Source organism: Homo sapiens, chromosome 17, assembly GCF_000001405.40.
Source record: "Homo sapiens chromosome 17, GRCh38.p14 Primary Assembly".
Classification (NCBI taxonomy): Eukaryota; Metazoa; Chordata; class Mammalia; order Primates; family Hominidae; genus Homo; species Homo sapiens.
Window position 1 is genome coordinate 32,209,887 of NC_000017.11, and position 24,424 is coordinate 32,234,310.

Here is a 24,424-nt window from a genome sequence, read left to right on the forward strand (position 1 = left end):
GTATGACAGCTGGCAGAGACTTAGTAGCAGTGATTTGTTCATCATCACAAGTCAAAAAAAATGAAAAAAAAATGAAAAAGGAATGTCTTGGGCCTATACAAGTTTTTTTTTTTAATTCTTGTTTTTCTTCATATTGGGAATTAGGCATTATTGGAATGCTGCTAATCGTTACAACCATGCCACCATGTGCTGTGGTCTCATCAGATCTCATAAGCTAAGCCAAGTCAGATTGGGCCAGTCTTTTGACTGAGAAGCCTATAAAAAAATGTTCAGGTGTTACAGGAAGTGATGTCATTGATTCATCAGGTGGCGCTCTTCTGAGTGGGTTCTGAACCAGTACCTCTTCATGGGTGGTGTGATGGCTTTGTATGAATGAGTGGCTCTGACCACTGAACAGTCATTGGAGACCCCCTACTTTGGTAGTTAGAGCCGAGGTGAAATGGGTTGCCCCCTGTGCCTGCACCAACTAGTGCAACTCTCCTCAACCAGAAAGGAGTCAGAAAGCCTCCCTAAATTTCATATCTGATTTCAATTGGATCCATTGTTGATTTTACATCCTTACCCAGAGTTTCATACTGTCATATATAGCTGCTGTGTTTGGGTAGCAGATGAAATCAACCCTATATTTTATTTGAGTAGAAATTTATAAAGCACCTTGATTTAGTTCCTTTGAGAGCCAGGGTGCTTGATGAATTAAAGACGTTGTTGTTCACATCTTCTCAGGGTTGAATACACTTGTCTTTTGACTCATTTGTATATTTATCATTCTTCTCCTTCCTGGTTTTCAGGCATGTGTGTATGCTGAGGGAGGAGGAGGAGGAGGGAATCGTTATTTAAACGCTAGCAAACTTTGTCCTTTTGGTGGGTGCTTATGGCTTACTCAGGTTTTCTTTTTATTAATTTAGACGAGGGTGCCATCTATTGCTGTGCATATTTATTCCACAAAAATTCATGTAATAATAATTCCATCCCCCCTCCAAAAAAAGCAAAAGTATCAGCTAATTTTCCCTAGATTTTCTACAGGGAGGGAGGAGGAAGCTATTACTATTTATTATGTTTTTGGTAAATGTGGAATTCTGCACAACTTTAGCATGCCCCATACTGTCCTTTTCCTTTCTACAAAGAGTGTTGCTTATGCCTAAGTCTTTTTTTTTTAAGTTGGCACACCCTGACTTGTGCCATATTTGTAAGTAAGAACTCAACTCCTGTCCTTCTGTGTGTTTTCGCAGCCATGCCCGGTTACGCTGTATGTGCACCTGCAACAGGTGTACATTTTGCATCTGTCAGAACTTCCTCAACTCAGACTTGCTGCAATCTGTAAAGAACAAAATCTTCACTGCAGTTCTTAACAGGTTCTTAACTTTATTTACTGGGTACCAGGCATTCTGTTAAAATACAAAAGAAAAAAGCGGATAACTATTTATTATACAGATACTCACTACAAAGACAAGCTGACTGATGCCCAACTAACTTCCACTAAAATTCTCACTGTGATGACAATGTTTAGTTTTGGAAGCATCCTTAATAATGTTTTTAAATTAATAGGTATATTTAGAGGACTATAAAATAAGATTTTGGATGTTTTTTTCATAAGGAAGATAAATTATCTTTCCTATTAAAAGATAATATGTATAGGGAAATTAAAATTTTTTGGCTGTGAGTTAATAGATTAGGACTTTTGTAGTAAAGAAAAGACACATTAATCCTAAATGAAAGATATTATACTGTACTCAGCTTACAATGAAATAATATATCTCATTAAAACCATAGTAATGCAAACAGTATTTTGAGTTTGAAACAATATTCTATTCTTGAAACCATTTATAATTATAATCTGCTTTTAAGTACCTGGAGTGTTTATTTGAAAGAACATGGTTTCTAGACATGAGGATAATAACCAACTTTAAGAACTCAAAGGAATGTGGAAAAGAGAAAAAGATCTGTAGTACTGTTTTTTTAGGCCTTTATAATTGAACCAAAAGCATGAAGTAATCCTATAAAGTAACACGCTTTTAAGAAAGAAAGAGAAAAAAAAAGGATGCATATATTCCCTCAAAGCAATAATCTTGGAAGGTTGTATTCTTATGCTGATCATGCTACCTTTGTTCAAATCAGTTTTACATTTTTTGAGCATTTAAGAGCTGAATACTAATTTGTACCTGATGTCATATGTGTATGCATTAGGTTTTTGAAATCATTTAAAAGTCTTTGGGAGCTGGGCTTGATTAAGATCAAGCTAAATATTCAATTTTGGTTAGAAATGGGTCAGTTATTTGGCTCACCATTGGACACTCACTGAGGGCTAGACTTTAACTGTATCAAATGACCATAGTTTGTATCCACCAGCAATATAGTGGATGTGTCTATGAAACAGTGAGTTTATTTCTTCTGTGAGTCAGAAACTGATTTTGAAGGCATTCTGAGAGTTTCAGTGATGTTTCGAGCACTAACAGCTCTGGAATAAGAATGCAACCATCTCAGGTGACTGCTTTGAAGGGATCACCGCACCCATTTGGTGGCAAAGTTCTGCTTCTGTGCTTTAGCACCTTGTAAAGTAGTAACATAGACAGATTCTCTCATGATGACTGACAGAAAATGCAAGGCTAGTTCAAACCAAACAACACTCAGGTGCTCCAGTGTTGGGAATCGTTGAGTTGGAAGAGATTCTAGAATTCATCTGGCCTAACCTCCTGTTAGAATGCCTTCCTGCAAGCCTTCCTGAGAGAGTGCTGTTTATCTGCTGATGGCTTGCCTCATTGGAAAGCATTTTTGCTTTTGCTTTTATTATTTTTTTTTAACTAAATGTTTTCCCTATAACTTTCTCTCTTTAGTTTTAGTTCTGCCCTTTAGAACAACATACGACTATCCTACTCCCTCTTCAACATAGCAATCCTTCAGGCATTTGAAGACGGCCATCATGTCTCCCCTAATTTTCTCTTCTCCAGGTAGAACATCCCCATTTCTTTCAGCCTTTTCTTAAATTAGATGGTTTAGTGAACTTATCATTCCTGGTTGTCTTCATCTGAAAGCCCCTTAGGTTTTCACAGTACCTCTTAAAAGGTGCCACCAAGAATAGAAAGCAGTGTTGCAGTTGTAGTGCGACTAGTCCAGAACAGTGGGCAGCTGTTTTTCACAATTAGGACAGCATCTGTCTAGGGCATGAATTAACTTTTTGGCAGTCCCATCCCACTGTTGACATATATTGTCTTGGGGCTAATTAAAGTCAGATGTTTTTCATATGAAGAGACAGATGTCCCCTCCTTTCTGATGTGTATTTGACATTTTTTAGTTGATGCTTTAAATCTAAATGCAGATACATATATATCTCTATTAAATGTCATATTCTTCTTTTTGATCCATTTGTTCTAGCTCAGTCATTTCAAACATTATTTCTGTCATTTGTCCCATTATATATTTCTCTAAGCATTGTGTTATTTGCAGATTTGGTAGATATGTACTGTTTTTCAAGTTACTGATAAAAAATGATGTTGAATACCCAGAGGTTGGAGAGAGAGAGAGTGCTAAACTGAGCAAGCCCTATAGTATTCCACCAGAGAACTCTTTGTCAATGACAGGTTCAAAATTCTTGGGGAAGGATTTTTCAGTCAATGAAAAATATGTTATTATCCAGCCCACATTTTGTCTTCCTGTCTTATCAGATATTTCATGAAGGATTTTTCTAAAATCAGTATATAATTTCTTCCATATTCCTCTGATCTACCAATATCATAATTTTATCTAATTAGCAAGCAACATCTATTTGATGTCTTATTTTGGTGAACTCACCTTGGCTCCCCGTAATTGCTGATCACAAACCACCTATTTTATTACCTATTCTAGAAACTCTTGATTGTCCATAATTACAGATTGATTCATTGTCTGTGTCCCTGGTGACAATTTTATTCCTAGATTGGTTTAGTTAGCTTTCAAATAAAATTGATTTAGTTAGCTTTCAAATGAAATAGGACAGATGTGCATTAAATGAATACTATTGTGCATAGTAAATTATACAATGGCCCTCAAAGAGAAATCAGTACGTTTCGGTCATATCTATTTATAAACTGGTAGTAATTTAATGGTGATGTCAGCACACATCCTGACATCTGGTAATCAAGAATGGAAAGAATGAAAACGACAAGTAGAGGAACCAGTATACTTTTCAAACACTCCTTCCTTATCCCCGTTAGTATTTCAATCATTTATTTAAGAGAAGTACAGTGGAATTTTAGGGGCTGCGTATTGGAGTTTCTTCTAGTTTATGAAAGGTAAGTAAGATAGGTAGGTGGGGGCCAAAAACTCAGTGCCCACAGGTCCCGGATGGATACTGTAAAAGAATGAAGGTGGCCAAGTATAAGAAACAAGGAGAGGTGGGGACTGTGACAGGCACTGTCTAAAAGAGGCAGCCACCACTCAGCTCTGGCCGTTTGTTGTTGTACAGGTCTGGTGTTGCCAGGTTTTCTGGTTTTACAAGAGACTGGAAATCAAGGCTTTGGTGTGAAATTTCCAGATTGTTAGAGATTAGCAATTAATTAACAAATTTTTAAGTACTAATCAGAACAAAGCATGTTTATAGTCCACCAGCTTGCAACCTCAGTCTTAAGGTATGGCCTAGTCATGAAAATAGAGGCCAAGGAAAAGGACACATAGAATGAAAATGTCTCTGGTCCCATCACCACCACCACCACTTTACTCCTTTCCCATGAAAAATTTGAAAAAGTTATTGGGTGGTGGGATGAGAATGGAACCACCTTTCCCTGTTACTTCTCAGGTTTTGGCAGCTGTTACTGGTTGGTCACTATTGGTTTCCTGTGTTAGACATATCCTAATGTTAGGCACAAAAAAGATTGATTGACTAAGTAAAAGTCATTTAAAATTTTTTCACTGTATTTTATTCATAGGGAGGGTTCTCACCTAACACTAGGTCCTAAGTCTTTGTTTTTAGATATCAGAACTACCATGCTTAGTGTTTGATTTAGAATTGTGAAAGAGCAGTTCTAAAAGGCTTGTCTTTTTTTTTTTTTTTTTTTTTTTTTTTTTTGAGATGGAGTCTCACCCTGCCACCCAGGCGGGAGTGCAGTGGCATGATCTCGGCTCACTGCAACCTCCACCTCCCAGGTTCAAGTGATTCTCGTGCCTCAGCCTCCGGAGTAGCTGGGACCACAGGCATGTGCCACTTTGCCCGGCTAATTTTTGTATTTTTAGTTTCGCCATGTCTCAAACTGGTCTCGAACTCCTGACTTCAGGTGGTCTGCCAGCCTCAGCCTCCCAAAGTGCTGGGATTACAGCTGTGAGCCACCGCACCCAGCTGTCATTTTTATTTAAGTAAAAAGTTTCATTGAATGTCTACAAAGAATTAAATTAGTAGACAAGTATTGGTCTCAAATCAGCACATTGTTTTAGTGTGCTTGTAAAAATTTTGGTCACTGAAATAGAAATTACTACCAGATATGATACATGTTTGAGACCACATTCTCTTATTACCCCACTGTCCCCTAACCCCACCTTGATGTGATTTATTCATTCAGAGTACTTAATTTAAGTACCTGCTTTAAATAGGAACCTGCTGTGAACTGGGGCAAAATTTGAAAATGAAGAATATATGGAACCTGCCTTTAAGCATCTTTCTAAATATTATTTCTCTAAGAAAAACATTTTTTAACTTTGGTTATATTTTCAGTGATGTTAGTCCTTCATGCTAAAAAGGAAAGTGCTATATAACCTGATAATGAATTTAGGCAGTTTCAAGAGGTTAATTTCTGCAAGTGTTTTTCCTTTTATGAGAAAAAAATTGTCTTTTTTCCTGAACTTATTTACTAACACGATATATTTTAAGTATAGAAAGAATGAATTAAAAATTTTTATTTCCAATTTAATTGAACGTATATTAACTTTGATGTGTGAGAGTAGTGTTAAACATACATCTATCTCACATGTAATCTTTCTCTTGGTAATTATGAGCTCACTCAGATCTGGATAGGTTTATGTTTTACTTTAGACTAATTTATGAATAACTGGAATTATTTGAATTTGAATACATGTGGAGGATGAGTAACATGTGGTCAGATGATTTTAATCTTTGGGACTGCTTTCATTTCAAGTGGTATAAATTACGTTACTGGAGAAAAAGACCTTTTGAATATATTTTAAATTTTAAATATCTTTTAAATTTGAAAATGATTATATATAGATGAGCTTGATTGTTGGTTTGAACTACCCAGGATTTTTATTTATTAAGTATTTATTACTCTGACTTGAGAACACTCCTGCTTTGCATGAGAATGTTACTAGATTGTAGTGTATCGTGAACTTTAATTTGTCCTTTTTTAGGTGTTTGTTTTCATTTGTTTGTTTGTGTAACTTAGTCATTTTTTGATACTCTCAATCTCCTTCCCAGCTAGGTTTTTGTGTATAATCTCACCACTTCTAACCTGTTATTTAATCAAATATTGCTTATTTTACAGTTTATTCTTTGGGCGTGATTTCCTTTGTGCATATTTTGGTTTTAGGATTTCTTTCATTCTATTTTATTATTTGCATTAGCCATATAAGTTGTTGGTTCATGTTACTTCTTAAGTTCAGTAGCAGCATTTTATTTTGACAACCAAGTGCATAGTTCACACCGAATATTTACAGAGACCCAAAAGTATGATGGATAGACATCATACCTATTGCATTTTTTACCCTATTTATAATGTATTTTTAGATTAAATATATGTGTGACTTTTAAGCCACTCATTAATGACTTCATTTACCCATATTGCTTTAATAATCACCCAAGTTCTTCCTTTATGTAGTTTGAATTCATTACTTAATATAGGAGCCCTTTATTGAAGAAAGGATTTTATTATTGTCAGACAAAAATGAACTGCTTTTTCATAGGATTGCCTTATGAAAAGGATAGGTTTCTAAAAATCTTAATGTTGTTAAATGTTGGAAATCTAAGAGTCTTTGGGATATTACGTTATAGTAAAATATTTTGTCCAAGGAAGTCCTGCTTTAGTTTCTTATGAAACTTATTTATTCCCTTGTATGAAGGTCCTTATAAGACTGTTTGTGAATTTGTATACATAGTCATATATTTAAAGTTATACAAGAGTTTATGTTATAGATTTTCATTAAGTAAGCTGCTGCTGCTTATAATTTTTAAATTTTTTGTCATTTGGTTAATATATTAAAGGACATGACAAGGTGAAGTTTGCCTTATCTGATCTTTAAGTATCACTAGTTAACATATAGATATTGGAGCATTTCCTTTGTATTCATGATCATCTGTAAATTCAGATTCTTCTAATGCTTGGTGAAGCATTTCTTGACATTAGTGCACACCTGTGTCGTTTCCCAAAGTATGTTACTATTTAGGCGTGCTCAGTTAACAGCTTGCTTATGGTTTGTGTTGAAGCTGCTAGACACTGTGTATTGATTCCTTAACCTATTTTATCCTATTAAATATTTATCCTAATATATGTTTATCCTAATAAATATCCTATTAAAATATTTTATGCCTATTGGCTCAGTTAGGAGAATTGTCCTTTTTAAAATTGTTATTAGCAGTAGTGGCATTATTTTTAAAAGTAGATACAGAAAATACAGCCAGGCGCCTTGGCTCACGCCTGTAATCCCAGCACTTTGGGAGGCCGAGGAGGGCAGATCACGAGGTCAAGAGATTGAGACCATCCTGGCCAACATGGTGAAACCCCATCTCTACTAAAAATACAAAAATTAGCTGGGCGTGGTGGTGCGCACCTGTAGTCCCAGCTACTTGGGAGGCTGAGGCAGGAGAATTGCTTGAACCCGGGAGGCGGAGGTTGCAGTGAGCCAAGATTGCACCACTGCACTCCAGACTGGTGACAGACCAAGACTCCATCTCAAAAAAAAAAAAAGAAAGAAAGAAAATACTTCACCAGATTGAAACATTTGGAGAAACAAAAGCAGAGAGTCCAGAAGACTTTTTTTAATTTTTAATATTTTATTTTATTTATTTATTTATTTATTTTGAGATAGAATCTCACTCTGTTGCCCAGGCTGGAGTGCAGTGGCCCTATCTCAGCTCATCGCAACCCCCACCTCCCAGGTTCAAGTGATTCTCCTGTCTCAGCCTCCCAAGTAGCTGGGATTACAGGTATGCACCACCACACCTGGCTAATTTTTTGTATTTTTAGTAGAGACGGGTTTCACCATGTTGGCCAGGCTGATCTCGAACTCCTAACCTCATGTGATCTGGCTACCTCGGCCTCCCAAAGTGCTGGGATTACAGGCATGGGCCACCATGCCCGTCCTCAGAAGACTTTTTTTTTAAGTGGAATATTTGAAAATAGAAAAGGGCCAAGCGCAGTGGCTCATGCGTCTAATCCCAGCACTTTGGGAGGCAGAGGCAGGAGGATCACTTGAGCTCAGGAGTTCAGGACCAGCCTGGGTCACAAAGTGAGAGCCTGTCTCTACAAAAAATTTAAAAAAATAAAAAAATTTTAAAACAAGCTGGGTGTGATGGCTCACACCTGTGGTCCCAGCTACATAGGAGACTGAGGTGAGAGGTTTGCTTGAGCCCAGGAGGTCAAAGCTGTAGTGAGCTGTGTTTGTGCCACTGTACTGTAGCCTGGGTGACACAATGAGATCCTGTCTGAAAAAAAAAAAAAAAACAGAGCTGGGCACAGTGTTTCACACTCATAATTTGAGCACTTTTGGAGATCGAGACAGTAGGATTCTGTAAGCCCAGGAGTTCCAGACCAGCCTGGGCAACAAAGTTGTATTAAGACCCCCATCTCTACAAAAAATCATAAATTAGCCAGGTATGGTAGCACGCACTTGGGGTCCCAGCTACATGGGAGGCTGAGGCAGGAGGATCACCTGAGCCCAGGAGGTTGAGGCTGCAGTGAGCTGTGTTCATGCCATTGCATTCCAGCCTGGGTGATAGAGTGAGACCCTGTCTCTGAATAAATAAATAAATAAAGACAGAAAAATTTACTGTAGTTTGGTGACCTCAGTATAGTTTTCAACTTGAGATACGTAATTACAAATGAGAAAAAGCTAAATATGGTATCTCTGTGCCCTGGTAACTTTAGATACACTTCTATTACAGTTATATTGGTTGTTTTAGGGTATTATCTTAAAAATCTATACCTGAGATATATATATGGGTAGAGTTGTAAAATTAGAAGACCATTCACATTAGTGCATTTGTACATCTCTTAGTTGTATTTTGGAAAGAATAAGGTGGGGAGATGAGAGGAGTGAAAAATAGGAAATTCAAATACATTTCTGAGAAATTGTGTGGGAAGACTGATAAAAATGACTCTCTGGAGCTCCTCTGAGTAAAATCTCTCAGTTTTGCTTCTTTTCAGTATTTTCTACTGAACTTTTCTTTTCCTCTGCATAATAGCTTACAGTCTAAGACAAGGTTAATTGATATCTGGGTAACAATTTCTGAATTCTTACCCTTCCGCTATGTTGCCCAGGCTGGTCTTGAACTCCTGGTCTTAAGCAGCCCTCCAACTTCAGCCCCCCAAAGATCTGGGATTACAGTGTGAGCCTCTGTGCCCAACCAGTTCATGTTTTTATATTCACCTTAAGTTGCAGAATTAATTAAAAGTATTTTGTATGCCCTTGCACTAAAGATATTCAGTGCAAAGGTACATAGGAATTTTGGCCAGTCTGCATATGCCTTGTGTGACTGTTCACAGTTCACACAGTTGTTCGTTTAACTCTTTATTACCTGAATTTTGCAACATTTTCTTCTCTCTGCATTATTAAGTAGTGGCCTTAATAAAACCCAAGTCCAGACGTGTTGGTTGGCTCCTACACCTGTGTCAAGGAGAACTTGACGTCTGATACATTAATGGGCCTTCAGCACTTCTAAGCCAGAAAGCCAACATCCCAGACACAGGAATTTTCACCTAAGAACTTGAAAGCTCTAACAAACTGCGAATGATTAGTTAGGGTTATATTCAACATTTAGTCATTATTTCTAATGTTCTAAAAAGAGATACTGCTTAACTAAATGATCTTATTCCACATAGAGTAGGAAGGTTTGGTGATTTTGATATATCACTAGGTTAGAAAAAAAACCTTTATACATAGACACACGTACACATTTTTGACCTTGTAACATTTAATTCTGGAAAGTCTATCTTAATGAAAACATCCTAAATATAGAGAAAAATTTTATGTAGAAAGATAGTCTTTTTTTTGTAGCCACAAATAAATGGAGATAGCCAGGTTGGGCATGGTGGCTTATGCCTGTAATCCCAGCTCTTTGGGAGGCTGAGGCCAGGAGTTCAAGACTGGCCTGTGCAACATAGCAAGACCCCATCTCTACAAGAAAAATGAAAATTATCCAGGCATGATGGCACACACCTGTAGTCCCAGCTACTTATGTGGCTAAAGCAGGAAGATCACTTGAGCTCAGGAGTTCGAGGCTACGGTGAGCTAGGATTGCACCACTGCACTATCCAGCCTGGGTGACAGAGCAAGACGCTGTCTCTGAAAAGTAAAATAATAAAATAAAAGGAGATAGCCAGCAATAGGAGAATAGAATATAATCCAGCTATTTAGAATGTTTCCATAATTGATGAAGAAGTCCATACCTTATAACACGTGTGAAAAATATATAGAAATATACACACATTGTGTTTGCAGCTGTGTAAAAAATACATAGAAAAAGTCTAAAAGGGGCTGGGCACAGTGGCTCACTCCTGTAATCCCAGCACTTTGGGAGGCTGAGGCAGACAGATCACTTGAGGTCAGGAGTTTGAGACCAGCCTGGTCAACATGGTGAAACCCCATCTCTACTAAAAATACCAAAAATTAGCTGGGCATGGTGGTGCACGCCTGTAATCCCAGCTACTCGGGAGACTGAGGCACAAGAGTGACTGGAAGCTGGGAGGTGGAGGTTGCAGTGAGCTGAGATTGCGAGACTCTGTCTCAAAAAAAAAAAAAAAAAAGTCTAAAAGGAAATACCTGACCTTTTAATTTGTTGCCTTGGGTAACATAAATGATTTTTTTTCTTACTTTGCCTTATTTTCTAATGAGTGTATATTAGCTTTTTTATATTTGAAAATAAAGTAAACTTTAGAAAGAAAAACTATGCAGTAAGATACTATAAGTTATTCTAAGATGATATTTTCTATAAGTCATTTTGAAAGAATTATGCTTTTGAATTGTGGAAGAATTATTTCTGCTTAAGTTTAGAAATGAGCCAGAAGCGGCCAGGCGTGGTGGCTCACGCCTGTAATCTCAGCACTTTCGGAAGCCGAGGTGGGTGGATCACCTGAGATCAGGAGATCGAGACCATCGTGGCCAACACGGTAAAACCCTGTCTCTACTAAAAATACAAAAATTAGCTGGGTGTGGTGGCATGTACCTGTAGTCCCAGCTACTTGGAAGGCTGAGGCAGGAGAATCATTTGAACTTGGGAGGCGGAGGTTGCAGTTTGCTGAGATCGCATCACTGCACTCCAGCCTAGTGACAGAGTGAGATTTCGTCTGTCTCAAAAAAAAAAAAAAAAAGAAAGAAAGAAATGAGCCAGAAGCTTTATGAAACTGTACTTGCCTCTGTTTGAAAACTGAAAGGACAAACATGAATTAGTTTTTGATACTTTTGGAATACATGTGAGACCACATTATTCTCTATTCAGGTTAAGCAATGATAAGCGTGCCCTCCATTTTAAATGCTTTCTCTTTTATAAATAGAGCCTGGTAGTGCAGCCTTTAAATGCAGGTGGTACAGGTGTAAAATAGTTCTGTAAGTAACTTTCCATGTCTAAAAGTGTCTTAAACAGCTACTGTGACATTGATGGAGCCATCGAAATATATTTTATAAGTTAATAGTTACCTTAAGTTTTAAACTAGCTGTATCTTGAACATGTATCTATATTGATCTTGAAATGCAAAAGAAAACTAAGCAATAAGGTCAGTCAGAATATATTATTTCATGTGTCTTAAAACACAAGGGAGACCAGCCTGTAGTTCCAGCAGTTAGAGAGGCCAAGGTGGAAGGATTGCTTGAGCTCAGGAGTTCAAGACCAGCCTGGACAACATAGTGAGACTTCATCTCTATCAACAAACAAACAAACAAGAAACCACATATCTGTGAAACAGATATCTATATTTGAAGACTATCTATGAGAAATCATTTTGATTGATTTTAATATGATTATAGCTAGCTTAAATCCTAATTCTTTTTTCCTCCTAAGTTAAAAAATAAATGTAAAAATGTAAAAATAAGATAAAAAATCTCCATCAGTGCAGATGCATGATAATCACAGGGAGGCCAAAGATGAAGAGAAACCTCTAATGCACCTTTACCTACGCTCTGACTTTAAATTCTATGCATCTGCATTGACTTGGAGTTGTAAACTTCTGTTACTCTCATCATAGGTCCATGGCGGTCTGTGAGTTTGGGATGTTGGACTCAATTTTTTCACAGATATATATTTGTAGTTTTTGATAACCCAAAGTTATAATCATCTGTAAACTTCACGACTAATCGTTGTTAACCTCATTTCTGTTGAATACTTATGGTTACTACGTGTTGTCAGGTACTGCTTATGGTATTGGTTTAAAGGACTTGGTATTTCAGATGCACCAAGACCAGCCTCATAGGGATGTTTAGAGAATGTATATAACAGCTTTAGGTTTCCTTGTCTGGAGTGGGTGTGTGTGTGTGTTTGTTAACAGAGTACATACAGATAGATTTTTTTTTTAAGTTTGGCAATTTGCTATAGAATACATTTATTTTAAATATAGAAAACATGAGATCCATCATATAGGGTGGCAACTCAATTTATGTGTGGGATGCATAATTGAGAGATGTTATTTTGAGTCCCTTTTTTTGTGAGCTCTGCTGTGAACTGCAAACTGTGTGCATGTGTATAAAAGGTTAAGAGCCCGGATAGCTGAGTGGGGTGCCATGCTGTTAGCAGACGATGAGGGCAGTATTACTCACCAGGTGCATGCTGTCAGCTCTGTAGAAGATTCCATCTTCATGGAGTCATCTCATGGTCCACTTTTTCTTGAAGCCAGGTAACATTTCCAATGGGTTGGCCTCGTTGGAGTTTTTCCAGCTTGAAAAACCTAAGCATTTTCTTCTCTGACTTTTTTTTTAATAAAATGCTGCCTGTTGGAAAAACTAACTTGCAAGCTGGAATGAACCTGTGATATCACTTTGCTTTGTAAGAAATAATTATGTGAGGAGTGATTTTTTTTTTTTAAATAGAAACTGGTGAGGGTGAGAATTGGAGTGTTGTGTCTTGCTTTGTTGTGTTAAGCATGGAGCACTCTGGCTTGTGTTGTAGACTTTTGTTTCTAGGGATGTACAGACTATTTTGTGATAACTAATCTGTTCTCTTTGACTATTACTGAGGCAAAGTAGTTTTGTGCAGTTTGAATTCTTGGCTCTTAACTCTTTTGCATATGTCAGTGCCTTGGTCTTTTAATGATATCTGACTTTTGCTTCAAATCTGTTTAACTTAGTTATAAAATAACCTAAACTAGACAGTCTCTCTAAGCTCTTAATTTTGTAAGTTTTCTTTTCTTTCTTTTTTTTTTTTTTTGCGATAGAGTCTCACTCTGTCACCCAGGCTGGAGTGCAGTGGCACCGTGTCGGCTCACTGCAAACTCCGTCTTCTAGGTTCAAGCAATTCTCCTGCCTCAGCCTCCCAAGTAGCTGGGATTACAGGCACCCACCACCATGCCCGGCCACTTTTTATATTTTTAGTAGAGACGGGGTTTCACCATGTTGGCCAGGCCAGTCTCGAACTCCTGACCTCAGGTGATCCACCCGCCTCAGCCTCCGAAGTGCTGGGATTACAGGCATGAGCCACTGCACCCGGCCAATTTTTTAAGTTTTCTACATCATCTCAATTGTGTTCACTTAGTAACTAAGACTTCAGTGACATTTAAATAAAATGTTCTGACCTTTTCTTTAGAGCTTTATCCTCTTCATGGTAAGCTGTCATACTTGAGACTCTTGAGGGTACTTACTGAGCATGCTCACAACTCAGTTTGTGGTACAGGCTGTCCCTGTTCTTGTCATGCATACTATGGCTTATTTTATGTCATTGCCTTTCAATCCATCACATTACGTTATGTCTGTTAGTTGGTATCATTATCACTGCCTGTCTAACACCAGGGATTGGTTTTTTTCTCTTTAATTAGCAGTAACCAAATTAATGCAAACTGATAAATCTTCCCCTCCCCCTTCGGGTTTTTTGGGGGGTTTTTTGTAAATTTTTATGAGGCTCAGTGTTTCCAAAGTTGACTTTAATCATTTCTCTTAGAAAAGTATTGTCACTTGTCACTTAACTGCTTACAAAATAGCTTTCAGTTCCTGGGGATAGGAGATTGCACATTATTTAACCATGAATATGATCCTCAAAATTGTGGGAACACCGCCTTAATTTTCATTTTGAACAACCGTAACGGTATTATAAAATGCTAGATTGATTTGTCTAACTTCTTTATTTCCTGTGTGAAAAAAAGTTTACAAATTTAGATGTCTACTCCCACAAAGTAGCTAATTGTCTTTATTAGTATCTACATTGTGTCATTTTCTTAAAGTAATGATTAAGTAATTATATATATGGCTATATTGATCAATGTTTTTGATAAGCATTACTGTATGCAGTTAGCTTGACAAGTGTGCTAATACTTCCCTAAAAGTAGACTGCTAAATAACTGGTATAGGGTTTTCATACTAATCATGTTTTAAATAATAATTATATTTTCTGACTGCAGGCACGTGACACAAGCTGACCTCAAGAGCTCCACGTTTTGGCTTCGAGCAAGTTTTGGTGCTACTGTTTTTGCAGTTTTGGGCTTTGCTATGTACAAAGCATTATTGAAACAGCGATGATATAAAAAGAAATACTGTCCCTACCAAAAACAAATACTTTTATGTACATTCTGAATGCTTTAAGTTCTGCTAGAATTATTGAGATATTTATACATGCAGAGTTACTTTATTAATATTTGTAATTCATGCATAAGAGTATTTTAATGATAGTTATAACTGCAGTATTGGCTAGCATATGGAAAGAAAACAGCTAACAGCCAAACTAAAATGGCTAAATTCCAGAGGCCAAAAGGGAATATTTTGTAAATATATGTACATATTCAGGCAAGATATGGTCTCCCAAGCTGAGTTCTAGAAATGATGTTTCTAGACATTTCTAAGTGGTATTGTTAGTGCTCACTTGGCTCACTCTTCTAGGTTTAAGTTAGCCCAGAGATTGTATTTACTCATGGATCACTTTATTTATTTCACATTTACTCAGAATGATCCTTTGGGTTCTATAAGGACATAAGGTACAATTTGCCATTGTCTCTCCATTTTTAAAAACATACAAGTCAGTGTCAGCTTACCAACATGACATTTTTTCAGTCAGTTGTGGTAGGCCAGCCTTGAAGCCATCGCACAGTCTAGAAACTTGTGTAGCTGAGTGTGCAGCTCACCTTTAAGGGTGAAGTTAGGTAAAAGCAATTAGCAGAGGCGTTATCTATGTGATTATGTTGCTTCCTTGTCAGTATGTTGAATTTTATAGCCCTTTCAATGAAATAAAAAAAAAATTTGTATATTACCAATGTTTTTAGTTTAAATAAAGAGTCACCCTTACTACTGTTGAATTTCATCCCAAGTGTAAATCATTCTATAATGGCTGTGTCTGTTATAGTATATTACAGTAACTGCATGTGTCACCAAGTGTTCTATATCAGGCTAGGATAACCTAGAGGCAGTAATTTTTTAAATGATAAAATAAATCTAATGAATATAAACTCTCATGATAAACCTATTTTTTCCATCATCAGCCTTTTCAAGTATTTAAATAAATAACTGCTGTGTACTGTGATCTTGAGTTCTTTTGTCATCTAAAGTAAATATTTCTGTACAGATGTGAGTGAAGTCCTCTGGTTTCTATCTCTCATATTGAAAATTATTCTGTATAAAAGGAATACTCAGCCGGGAGTGGTGGCTCAATCGTGTAATCCCAGCACTTTGGGAGGCCGAGGTGGGTGGATCACCTGAGGTCAGGAGTTTGAGACCAGCCTGACCAACATGGTGAAACCCTGTCTCTACTAAATAAAAAAAATTAGCTGGGCATGGTGGCGCATGCCTGTAATCCCAGCTACTTGGGAGGCTGAGGCAGGAGAATCGTTTGAACCTGGGAGGAGGTGGAGATTGCAGTGAGCCAAGATCACGCCATTGCACTCCAGCCTGGGCAACAAGAGTGAAAGTATACCTCAAAAAAAAAAAAAAAAAAAACTTATTAGGAAAAAAGTCAAGTATGATTTATATATGTAAGAGGAAATTTATTTAAAAGTTGTAGAGAAATCTATTCTGGTAAAAGGCCAATTGTTTTCCCTACACATAGCTAATTAATGTGGTTTCTGCTATTGTTTGCATGTTTATTTTCTCCTTTAACATGATTTTTCCTCTTTGCCATTCTGAGGGACATTTTCTTACAAGATCACACTTCTTGAGCAACTAGTAACAGTATAGCTTACTAGCTGGCAAAATAACATGACACTTCATTTGTTATTTGTTATTTTTTGATAAGGTCTTACTCTGTTGCTCAGGCTAGAGTGCAGTGGCGCGATCATAGCTCACTGCATCCTTGAATTCCTGGGCTCAAGTGATCTTTCCATCTCAGCCTCCCACAGTGCTGGGATTACAGGTGTGAGCCACCACACCCGGCCTGACTCCTCATTTTTTATTATTTTCTGAGAATTTCCCACTTACCAAATTTATGTCAGTTGTATAGTTTGCAATGACAGTTAATTTTTTCCAAGTTCTTTTCTAGTTTGTCTGAAATACTGCTTTAAATGAATATGCTTTATAGATTGTTGTGTTTGTGAGAAGCAGAGGTAAGAAGCTAGCTTACCAAGAGTTAATAAGTGGTGTGTTTATATATTTAGATATTCTCTCTCCATCTTTTCATTTGGGGAGCTTACATTTCTTTGGTTCAGAAGAAGGCAGGGGGCAGCTGCCCTATCTTGCACTTGCTCTGGACACACCCCCTTGCTAAGCTAGCCCCTTTCCTCACTTGTCAATCACTCCAGGTGGGGCGAATTAGTAGAGGGAATGCTTACTGTTTTCTCATCTTTAACCTACAGGCACATATGGGTTTTTTCTTTCTTTTGGAGACAGAGTCTTGCTCTGTTGCCAGGGCTGGAATGCAGGGGCGTAATCACAGCTCACTGCAACCTTGACCTTGTGTGCTCAAGCAATCCACCCTCCTCAGCCTCCAAGTAGCCGGGGCTACAGGCATGTGCCACCACACCTGGCTAATTTTTTAAAAAATTTTTTAGTAGAGATGAGGTCTCACTCTGTTGCACAGGCTGGTCTCAAACTCCAGAGCTCAAGTGATCCTTCTGCCTGGGATTATAGGTATGAGCTGGGATTATAAGTATGAGCCACCAGGCCTGGCCTATTTTTCTTCATTTTGCATCCACTTTAGAGACTAGTGAATGTGAGAAAATAATGTGAACACAAGAAAAGGCTTTTTCTGGCTTTTACAGTTTACTCAGGAGATGCAAGCTTTAAGAGTACTAAGGAGAAATAAAGAAAATAGGAACTTGAGAGTCGAAAGGAGATCTTTCACTTTACACCAGTTGGATTGTCTTTTTTTTTTTTCTTTTGAGACAGAGTCTTGCTCTGTTACCCAGGCTAGAGTGCAGTGGCACAATCATGGCTCATTGCAACCTCAGCCTCCCGAGTAGCTGGGACTACAGGCGCCCACCACCATGCCCGGCTAATTTTTTTTTTTTTTTTTTTTTTTTTTTTAGTAGAGACGGGGTTTCACCATGTTGGCCAGGCTGGTCTCAAACTCCTGACCTCAGGTGATCCGCCTGCCTCAGCTTCCCAAAGCATTGTCTTTTATTTTTTATTTTTATTTTTTCAACATCTAAGTATTTATTAAGGTGAGTTTTTACAAACAAGCATCTATCCCAGTGTGCGGGGTGAGGATGGGAGAGGAGAGTGGGGCAGCAGGAAGATGAGGATTCTCATCTTTTGATAATAAAGCTCCAGGTTCATCCCATTGTGGATTTCATAGTCCCCCAGAGACACATGGTCCTTAAAAATTGTGTACCACTTCTTCAGGACAATCTTGTTCCAACGGGTGCCAGTTTAGGCTGCAATCAGCTTCTTAAGGTCCCCGATGGTATCATCCGTGTTGCATTTAACGTGGACCTTTTTCCCCAGACGGTCGTTGCAAACAACCTCGATCATCCTAGCTGGAGCTCGAATTGCCTTGCATCCTAGCTAGAGCTCAAATCGCCTGGAATCTGTGAGGCCACTAGCTCCTCAGCATTGTCTTTCAAATGGGCAATTCTGAGGCTGCAGTGCCTTAATGAATAATAAGGCAGTTGTGTGAAGAAGCATTGCTTTGAAGGTTTGTAGTCCTAGCATAATGTAGTAACTATATCAGGGATCTGTTGCTTCTTGCTATTCATGTCTTTCTCTTTCACATTTGACCAAAAAATGAGCAATTTCTCGCATTGTTGGCACTGATAATGCTACGGTAGGAGTGGGCTCTGATATTAGGAATTTGGGGAGCACATGACCATTCTGAAATGGCCTATGAAAGTGGTAGGAGGACTTTGGGTATCAGTGCATATATGCACATCATCTGCCAGGGGAAGGCACCAAAGAAGAAATATACTGATGAGGCTGGGCACAGTGGCTCATGCCTGTAATCCCAGCACTTTAGGAGACGAAGGCGGGCGGATCATTTGAGGTCAGGAGTTTGAGACCAGCCTGACCAACACGGTGAAACGCTGTCTCTACTAAAAATACAAAAAAAAAAAAAAAAAAAAAAAAAGCCGGGCCTGGTGGCACATGCCTATAATCTCGGCTACCCAGGAGGCTGAGGCAGGAGAATTCCTTGAACTCAGGAGCTGGAGGTTTCAGTGAGCTGAGATCACACCACTGCACTCCAGCCTGGGCAAGAGTGAGACCCTGTCTCAAAAAAAAAAAAAAAAAAAAAAAGAACTATACTGATGAGCCAGTCTTGAATGAAATGAGAACTTTCCCAATCTATGAAGGCAGCTGAATAATGAATAAAGAGAGGGAAGCAGATGTAAGTGCCCGATCTCTGTGGTAGAGCATAATTCTTTCCTAAACAGGCCCTCAAAATGCACCTGGGGTTGGCTTTTTTTTTTTTTGCCTATCATTGGCTGTTAGGTTAGTTTTGATGCCCCTTTTGTCTGAATTGCACTAGTAAAAGTCAGTACAAAGATGCCTTTAAAATATATGTGCAAATCCTAAAAATAAGTGTGTAATCTAGTTCCATTAACATGTTTATTTGACTTCATACTTTAATATATCTTATTTTTTATTTATTTTTTTAACCAACATACCAGATTCCTAAATCATACTTTCACAGTCCACGTGTTTTTAGGAAACTGATTTGGGACTAGATACTTTTTGAGAAATACCACGTCAAGATGCTAAATTTAATGTTCACAGTATGAGAATGACCCATGCAGGCAGCTTGACCTTTCCAATGCCTTTATCCCCAGATCTACAGTCCAATAACACACTTATTTAAACCCCTAAGGTTGCAAGTAATTCATGTCTTTTTAACTCTTTTTATCAAACATTGCTGTCAGTGAGAGCGAGTGTCTGTTAACCTGCTTGGCCCTCAGCTCTGTGGAAGTCTGACCTGTGAGTATCACAGCTGTGTATCTCAGGTTTCTCTAGTGCATCTCAGTTTCATAAAATATCCTCTTGCTCCCATGGCACTCAGACTTGTCAGACCATTTGTCCCAGATATTTTGGGTTCAGAAAGTATCTTACTAGAAGGCAAGATTTTATTTTATTTGAGACAGAGTCTCCCAACGGTGCCACTCGGCTCACTGAAACCTCTGCCTCCCGGCTTCATGTGATTCTCCTGCCTCAGCCTCCTGAGTAGCTGGGATTACAGGCATGTGCCACCATGCCCAGCTAATTTTTGTTACCACGCCCGGCCAATTTTATCTTCTTTAGCATAGACAGTTGCAGAGGTCCAATGGCGAAATCGAGAGATTGTTAGTCCTTCTGGGTTTGAAAGCTGAATGTCAGCTGTGTACACACAAGGAGGAATTGCCAGTATCGTTTTCATACATTGAAAATTCCAAATTCCGCAAGAACAGTGTGTTTCTCTTTCAGCATTTTCCTATTTATAGTTTACATATAAGTGTTTTTTATTTTTTTGAGACGGAGTTTCGCTCTTGTTGCCCAGGCTGGAGTGCAATGGCGCCATCTCAGCTCACCGCAACCTCCACCTCCCAGGTTCAAATGATTCTCCTGCCTCAGCCTCCCGAGTAGCTGGAATTACAGGTGCCTGCCACCATGCCCAGCTAATTTTTGTATTTTTAGTAGAGATGCGGTTTCACCATGTTGGCCAGGCTGGTCTCGAACTCCTGACCTCAGGTGATCTGCCCACCTCGGCTTCCCAAAGTGCTGGGATTGATTACAGGCGGGAGCCACCGTGCCCGGCCCATATAAGTGTATTATAATCAACCCTTAGGAGTTTTATTAGGATGACATGAATGTGTATACTGCAGTTTAAGTTATAAGTCGCAAACTTTTTCTGCAAAGGGCCAGATAGTAAATATTTGAGACTTTCACAACTACTCAACTCTGTTGTAGCATGAAAACAGTCATAGACAATACATAAGCAAATGAATTACTTCATTCTAATGAAACTTTATTTATGGACACAGAAATGTGAGTTTTGTATCATTTTTATGTACCAGAAAATATTCTTATTTTGATTTTCTTAACCATCTAAAAATGTGGAAACTAGCCAGGCGCGGTGGCTCACACCTGTAATCCCAGCACTTTGGGAGGCTGAGGCGGGCACCTGAGGTCAAGAGTTTGAGACCAGCCGGTCCAACATGATGAAACCCCTTCTCTACTAAAAATACAAAAATTAGCCAGACGTGGTGGGGCATGCCTGTAATCCCAGCTACTCGGGAGCCTGAGGCAGGAGAATCACTTGACTCCAGGAGGCAGAGGTTGCAGTTAGCCCAGATCACACCATTGCACTCCAGCCTGGGTGACAGAGCAAGACTCCATCTCAAAAAAAAAAAGTGGAAACCATTCACATGCTGTACAGAAACTGACAGTGAGCCAGATTTGATAAACGCCCCCTGTAACGGATGAAAATATAGTAGTAAATGCACAGCAGCATTTACTAATGATTTAAAAAAATTACCTGATTGTTTTGGAATGTGAAAAGTTTCAATACTATGAAGAACTTAAAAATACTGTAGTCATGTTTTGTTTGTATGAAAACTAAGAGTGGATGTAGGAGTTGTTTGATTTTTTTCACTTTTACTGATCATATTGTTTATAAGAGCACGGTGCGCCGGCCAACGTGGGGTTAACCTCAAAGAGCAGTTTGATGCTTAGAAGGTAAAGGGAGCATCAATTCCACTTCTTCTGAGGACTCACGTGGAACTGTTCTTTTGGCACTTTATCTATGCTTGTTTTCAGTTTTCCAGTTGTATAATTGGTATACATGGAAAGTAAAGGAATCCCACGAGAATGTTTAGTTTGAACTCTAGTTATCTGGGGAATTTACCCCCTTGTGTGCATGAACATGTGATCATGCTTCTTATTTCTTTAAATTTTAAAGCCAAAATTTCAGAGCTTAGATAGCTTACATAGTATAAAGGTCATCTGTCCAACTCCATACTTTCATAGCGTACAGGGAGCACAAAAAGGCGAGAAGTGACAGCTCGGTGCAGAGGCTCACGCCTGTAATCCCAGCACTTTGGGAGGCCGAGGCAGGAGGATCACGAGGTCAGGAGATCGAGACCATCCTGGCTAACATAGTGAAACCCTGTCTCTACTAAAAATACAAAAAATTAGCCAGGCATGGTGGCAGGTGCCTGTAGTCCCAGCTACTCTGGAGGCTGAGGCAGGAGAATTGCTTGAACCCAGGAGGCGGAGGTTGCAGTGTGCCTAAATCGCTGAACTCCAGCCTGGGTGACAGCAAGAAGTGACTTACTCAAAGCCACAGTATTAGTTTGTCCTCGAGCTAGGACTGGAACCTAGGTATCTTGATTCCCAGTTTGGTACTCCTTCCACTGTAGGAGCCAACCTAACGACTGGGCTTTTGTTCCTACCTTTGGTAGATTTGCAATATAGTCTGTGAAAAACAATAACAACAACAAAAAAACAGGCCTAAGGGGAAAAAGAGAAAGAAAGAAAAACCCCGCTAAACAGTTTTGACATCTCTATAACTAAAAAGGGTTAAAGTTGGCAAAGCAAATTTTCTGGAAGCCTTTCATTTCCTCTGAGGCATTCTGCCTTCATTTCTGCTAGCTGTCACTAGGTAATTGATGTGTCTATTGAGAGGAGTGCAGACACGTGGTTAGGTTTATTTCAGGTACAGATAACTGAGGAGAAGTAAGGATATAACTACTCTTTGAAAAGCACTCTATGATTTTTAATTGTTCTTAAGTTGTTAATTTTGAAAAAATACTCTTAAAATTTATTCACATTTTATAAATGGAAAAGTACTTGTGTCAGGGGCTTTGATGGGGGAGAACTCCTAGAATAAAGTTTTGTCACTAACATTTTTCATCTCTGCTTCTGTAATCTGCCTCCAGGATTTCTATAATTCCAGTGGCATCCAGCCACTTCTATATACCATCTAGAGAATGAGTGGCTGAATATGTCTTCACACATTCACCACACTTTTTACTGACTTCCTCTTACATCTTTTTTTTCTTTTCTTTTTTTTTTTTTTTTGAAATGGAGTCTCACTCTTGTCGCCCAGGCTGGAGTGCAATGTCACGATCTCAGCTCACTGCAACCTCCACCTCCTGGGTTCAAGTGATTCTCCTGCCTCAGCCTCCCGAGTAGCTGGGATTACAGGTGCCCACCACCACGCCCGTCTAATTTTTGTATTTTTAGTAGAGACGGGGTTTCACCATGTTGGCCAGGCTGGTCTCAAACTCCTGACCTCAGATGACCCGCCCTCCTTGACCTCCCAAAAGTGCTGGGATTACAGGCGTGAACCACCGCGCCCAGCCCCTCTTACATCTCTTACTTTTCCCCCAGATTCTCAAAGTGTGATCACATCACCTGGGAATTTGTAAGAAATACGATTTTCAATAGCCCTTCCCCCACCCCCACCCCAGACCTCCAAGACTCTGAGGCCTCAGAAACTTGGAGGATGGGACCCAGCAAAATCTGTGTTAACAACCATCACCACTACCCACCCCCTACCCTGCCCTGCGATTCAGATGCACGTGAAGGTTTGAGAACTGCTGCAGTAGATATTGAAGGAGTCAAAGAGGTTACAATCTTTGGGGGCAACAAAACTATAAATTTGCTAGCAGTACAGTGGTTAAAATTTTTAAGAGAAATTATACATACGAATAATTTTGGTAAAACAATAGAACAACCCCTTCTATGTCTCCCTCTTTCCCCTAGGAAAATTCCAATTCAAATCTCAAGGCCCTGCAGACCCAGACCCAGACCTTTGCAGCCAAATCTGCACTCTCCCTATCCTACTACAGTCTAACCACAGAGAACTTCCTTCAGTTCTAAGAATGTACCTTGCTCATTCTCTTGAGCCCTTTGCAGATGCTTTCTCTCTAGAAGCCTGTCCTCCCAGCTCTTCATCCTTTAGGTCTCAAGGAGGGCCAAGGCCTGGCTGTCAGCATCCAGGAGCTGAGCCTTGGCATTTAGTGCTCATCTATCCACTTCATCCCCCTGTGCACAGTATGGCACCCCTGCCCTCACCTGTGCTTTGTCCAGTGATCCTCTCTTGGCCCTCTCTAGAGATTCCATTAAAGAGTGTTAAGCAGGGGAGGGATATACTAGTCAGGTCTCAGCAAATGTCCTTTTCCCTGACCCCAAGGAACTGAACCTGGGGAAGCTAACCTGTCTCCATCCTACCCAGTACTGAACTAAGTACTGGACCTTTGCACCTGCCTGTCATGCACTTGCCTACTCTTAGAGTACCTAGGGGGATGTATACCAATCCGTTTATTTGTAATTTCATTTTTTTTTTTTTTGAGATGGAGTCTTGCTGTATTGGCAGGCTGGAGTGCAGTGGCACAATCTCGGCTCACTGCAACCTCTGCCTCCCGGATTCAAGCCTTTCTCCTGCTTCAGGCTCCCAAGTAGCTGGGACTACAGGTGTATGCCACCACACCTGGGTAATTTTTGTATTTTTAGTAGAGATGGGGTTTCACCATGTTGGCCAGGATGGTCTCGATCTCTTGACCTCGTGATCCACCCACCTCGGCCTCCCAAAGTGCTGGGATTACAGGCGTGAGCCACCGCACCTGGCCTGTAATTTCATTTTCTTGATTTACACAACCCTTTCTTGAGAAGCAGCTTTACTCAGTCACTGAGTCCATGTGGAAAGAACTGACTAGCAGCCCTGGAAGCTAAATGATCTCTTAGTGGTAGTGGAAATTCACTA

At 39.2% G+C, this 24,424-nt stretch overlaps 1 protein-coding gene and 1 pseudogene across 22 annotated transcripts in view, besides 2 other annotated features; one reads left to right on the plus strand and one right to left on the minus strand.

The window, feature by feature from the left end:
• The window catches only part of RHOT1 (ras homolog family member T1), an 83,226-nt gene extending 67,385 nt beyond the window's left edge, over window positions 1-15,841 (plus strand). For 8 of the 22 annotated variants that reach the window (NM_001033568.3, NM_001033566.3, XM_047436364.1 and 5 more), the window contains 2 exons: window positions 1,230-1,352; window positions 14,730-15,841. In NM_001033568.3, coding sequence (NP_001028740.1) covers window positions 1,230-1,352; window positions 14,730-14,847 — 241 coding nt within the window. In that variant the 3' untranslated portion in view covers window positions 14,848-15,841. Of the gene's footprint in view, window positions 1-1,229; window positions 1,353-2,831; window positions 7,495-11,162; window positions 11,301-14,729 lie in introns of those variants that run through there. The other 14 variants (NM_001288758.2, NM_001033567.3, NM_001288754.2 and 11 more) reach the window with 7 other exon arrangements.
• Window positions 17,667-18,373: an enhancer, noted in NCBI's record as "OCT4-NANOG-H3K27ac hESC enhancer chr17:30554572-30555278 (GRCh37/hg19 assembly coordinates)". NCBI's record gives its function as "activates a minimal SCP1, AML or CMV promoter by ChIP-STARR-seq in primed H9 embryonic stem cells {active_cell/tissue: H9 hESC(primed)}" and the evidence as "EXISTENCE:reporter gene assay evidence [ECO:0000049][PMID:30033119]".
• Window positions 17,891-18,300, minus strand: UBL5P2 (ubiquitin like 5 pseudogene 2; annotated as a pseudogene).
• Window positions 18,374-19,078: an enhancer, noted in NCBI's record as "OCT4-NANOG-H3K27ac hESC enhancer chr17:30555279-30555983 (GRCh37/hg19 assembly coordinates)". NCBI's record gives its function as "activates a minimal SCP1, AML or CMV promoter by ChIP-STARR-seq in primed H9 embryonic stem cells {active_cell/tissue: H9 hESC(primed)}" and the evidence as "EXISTENCE:reporter gene assay evidence [ECO:0000049][PMID:30033119]".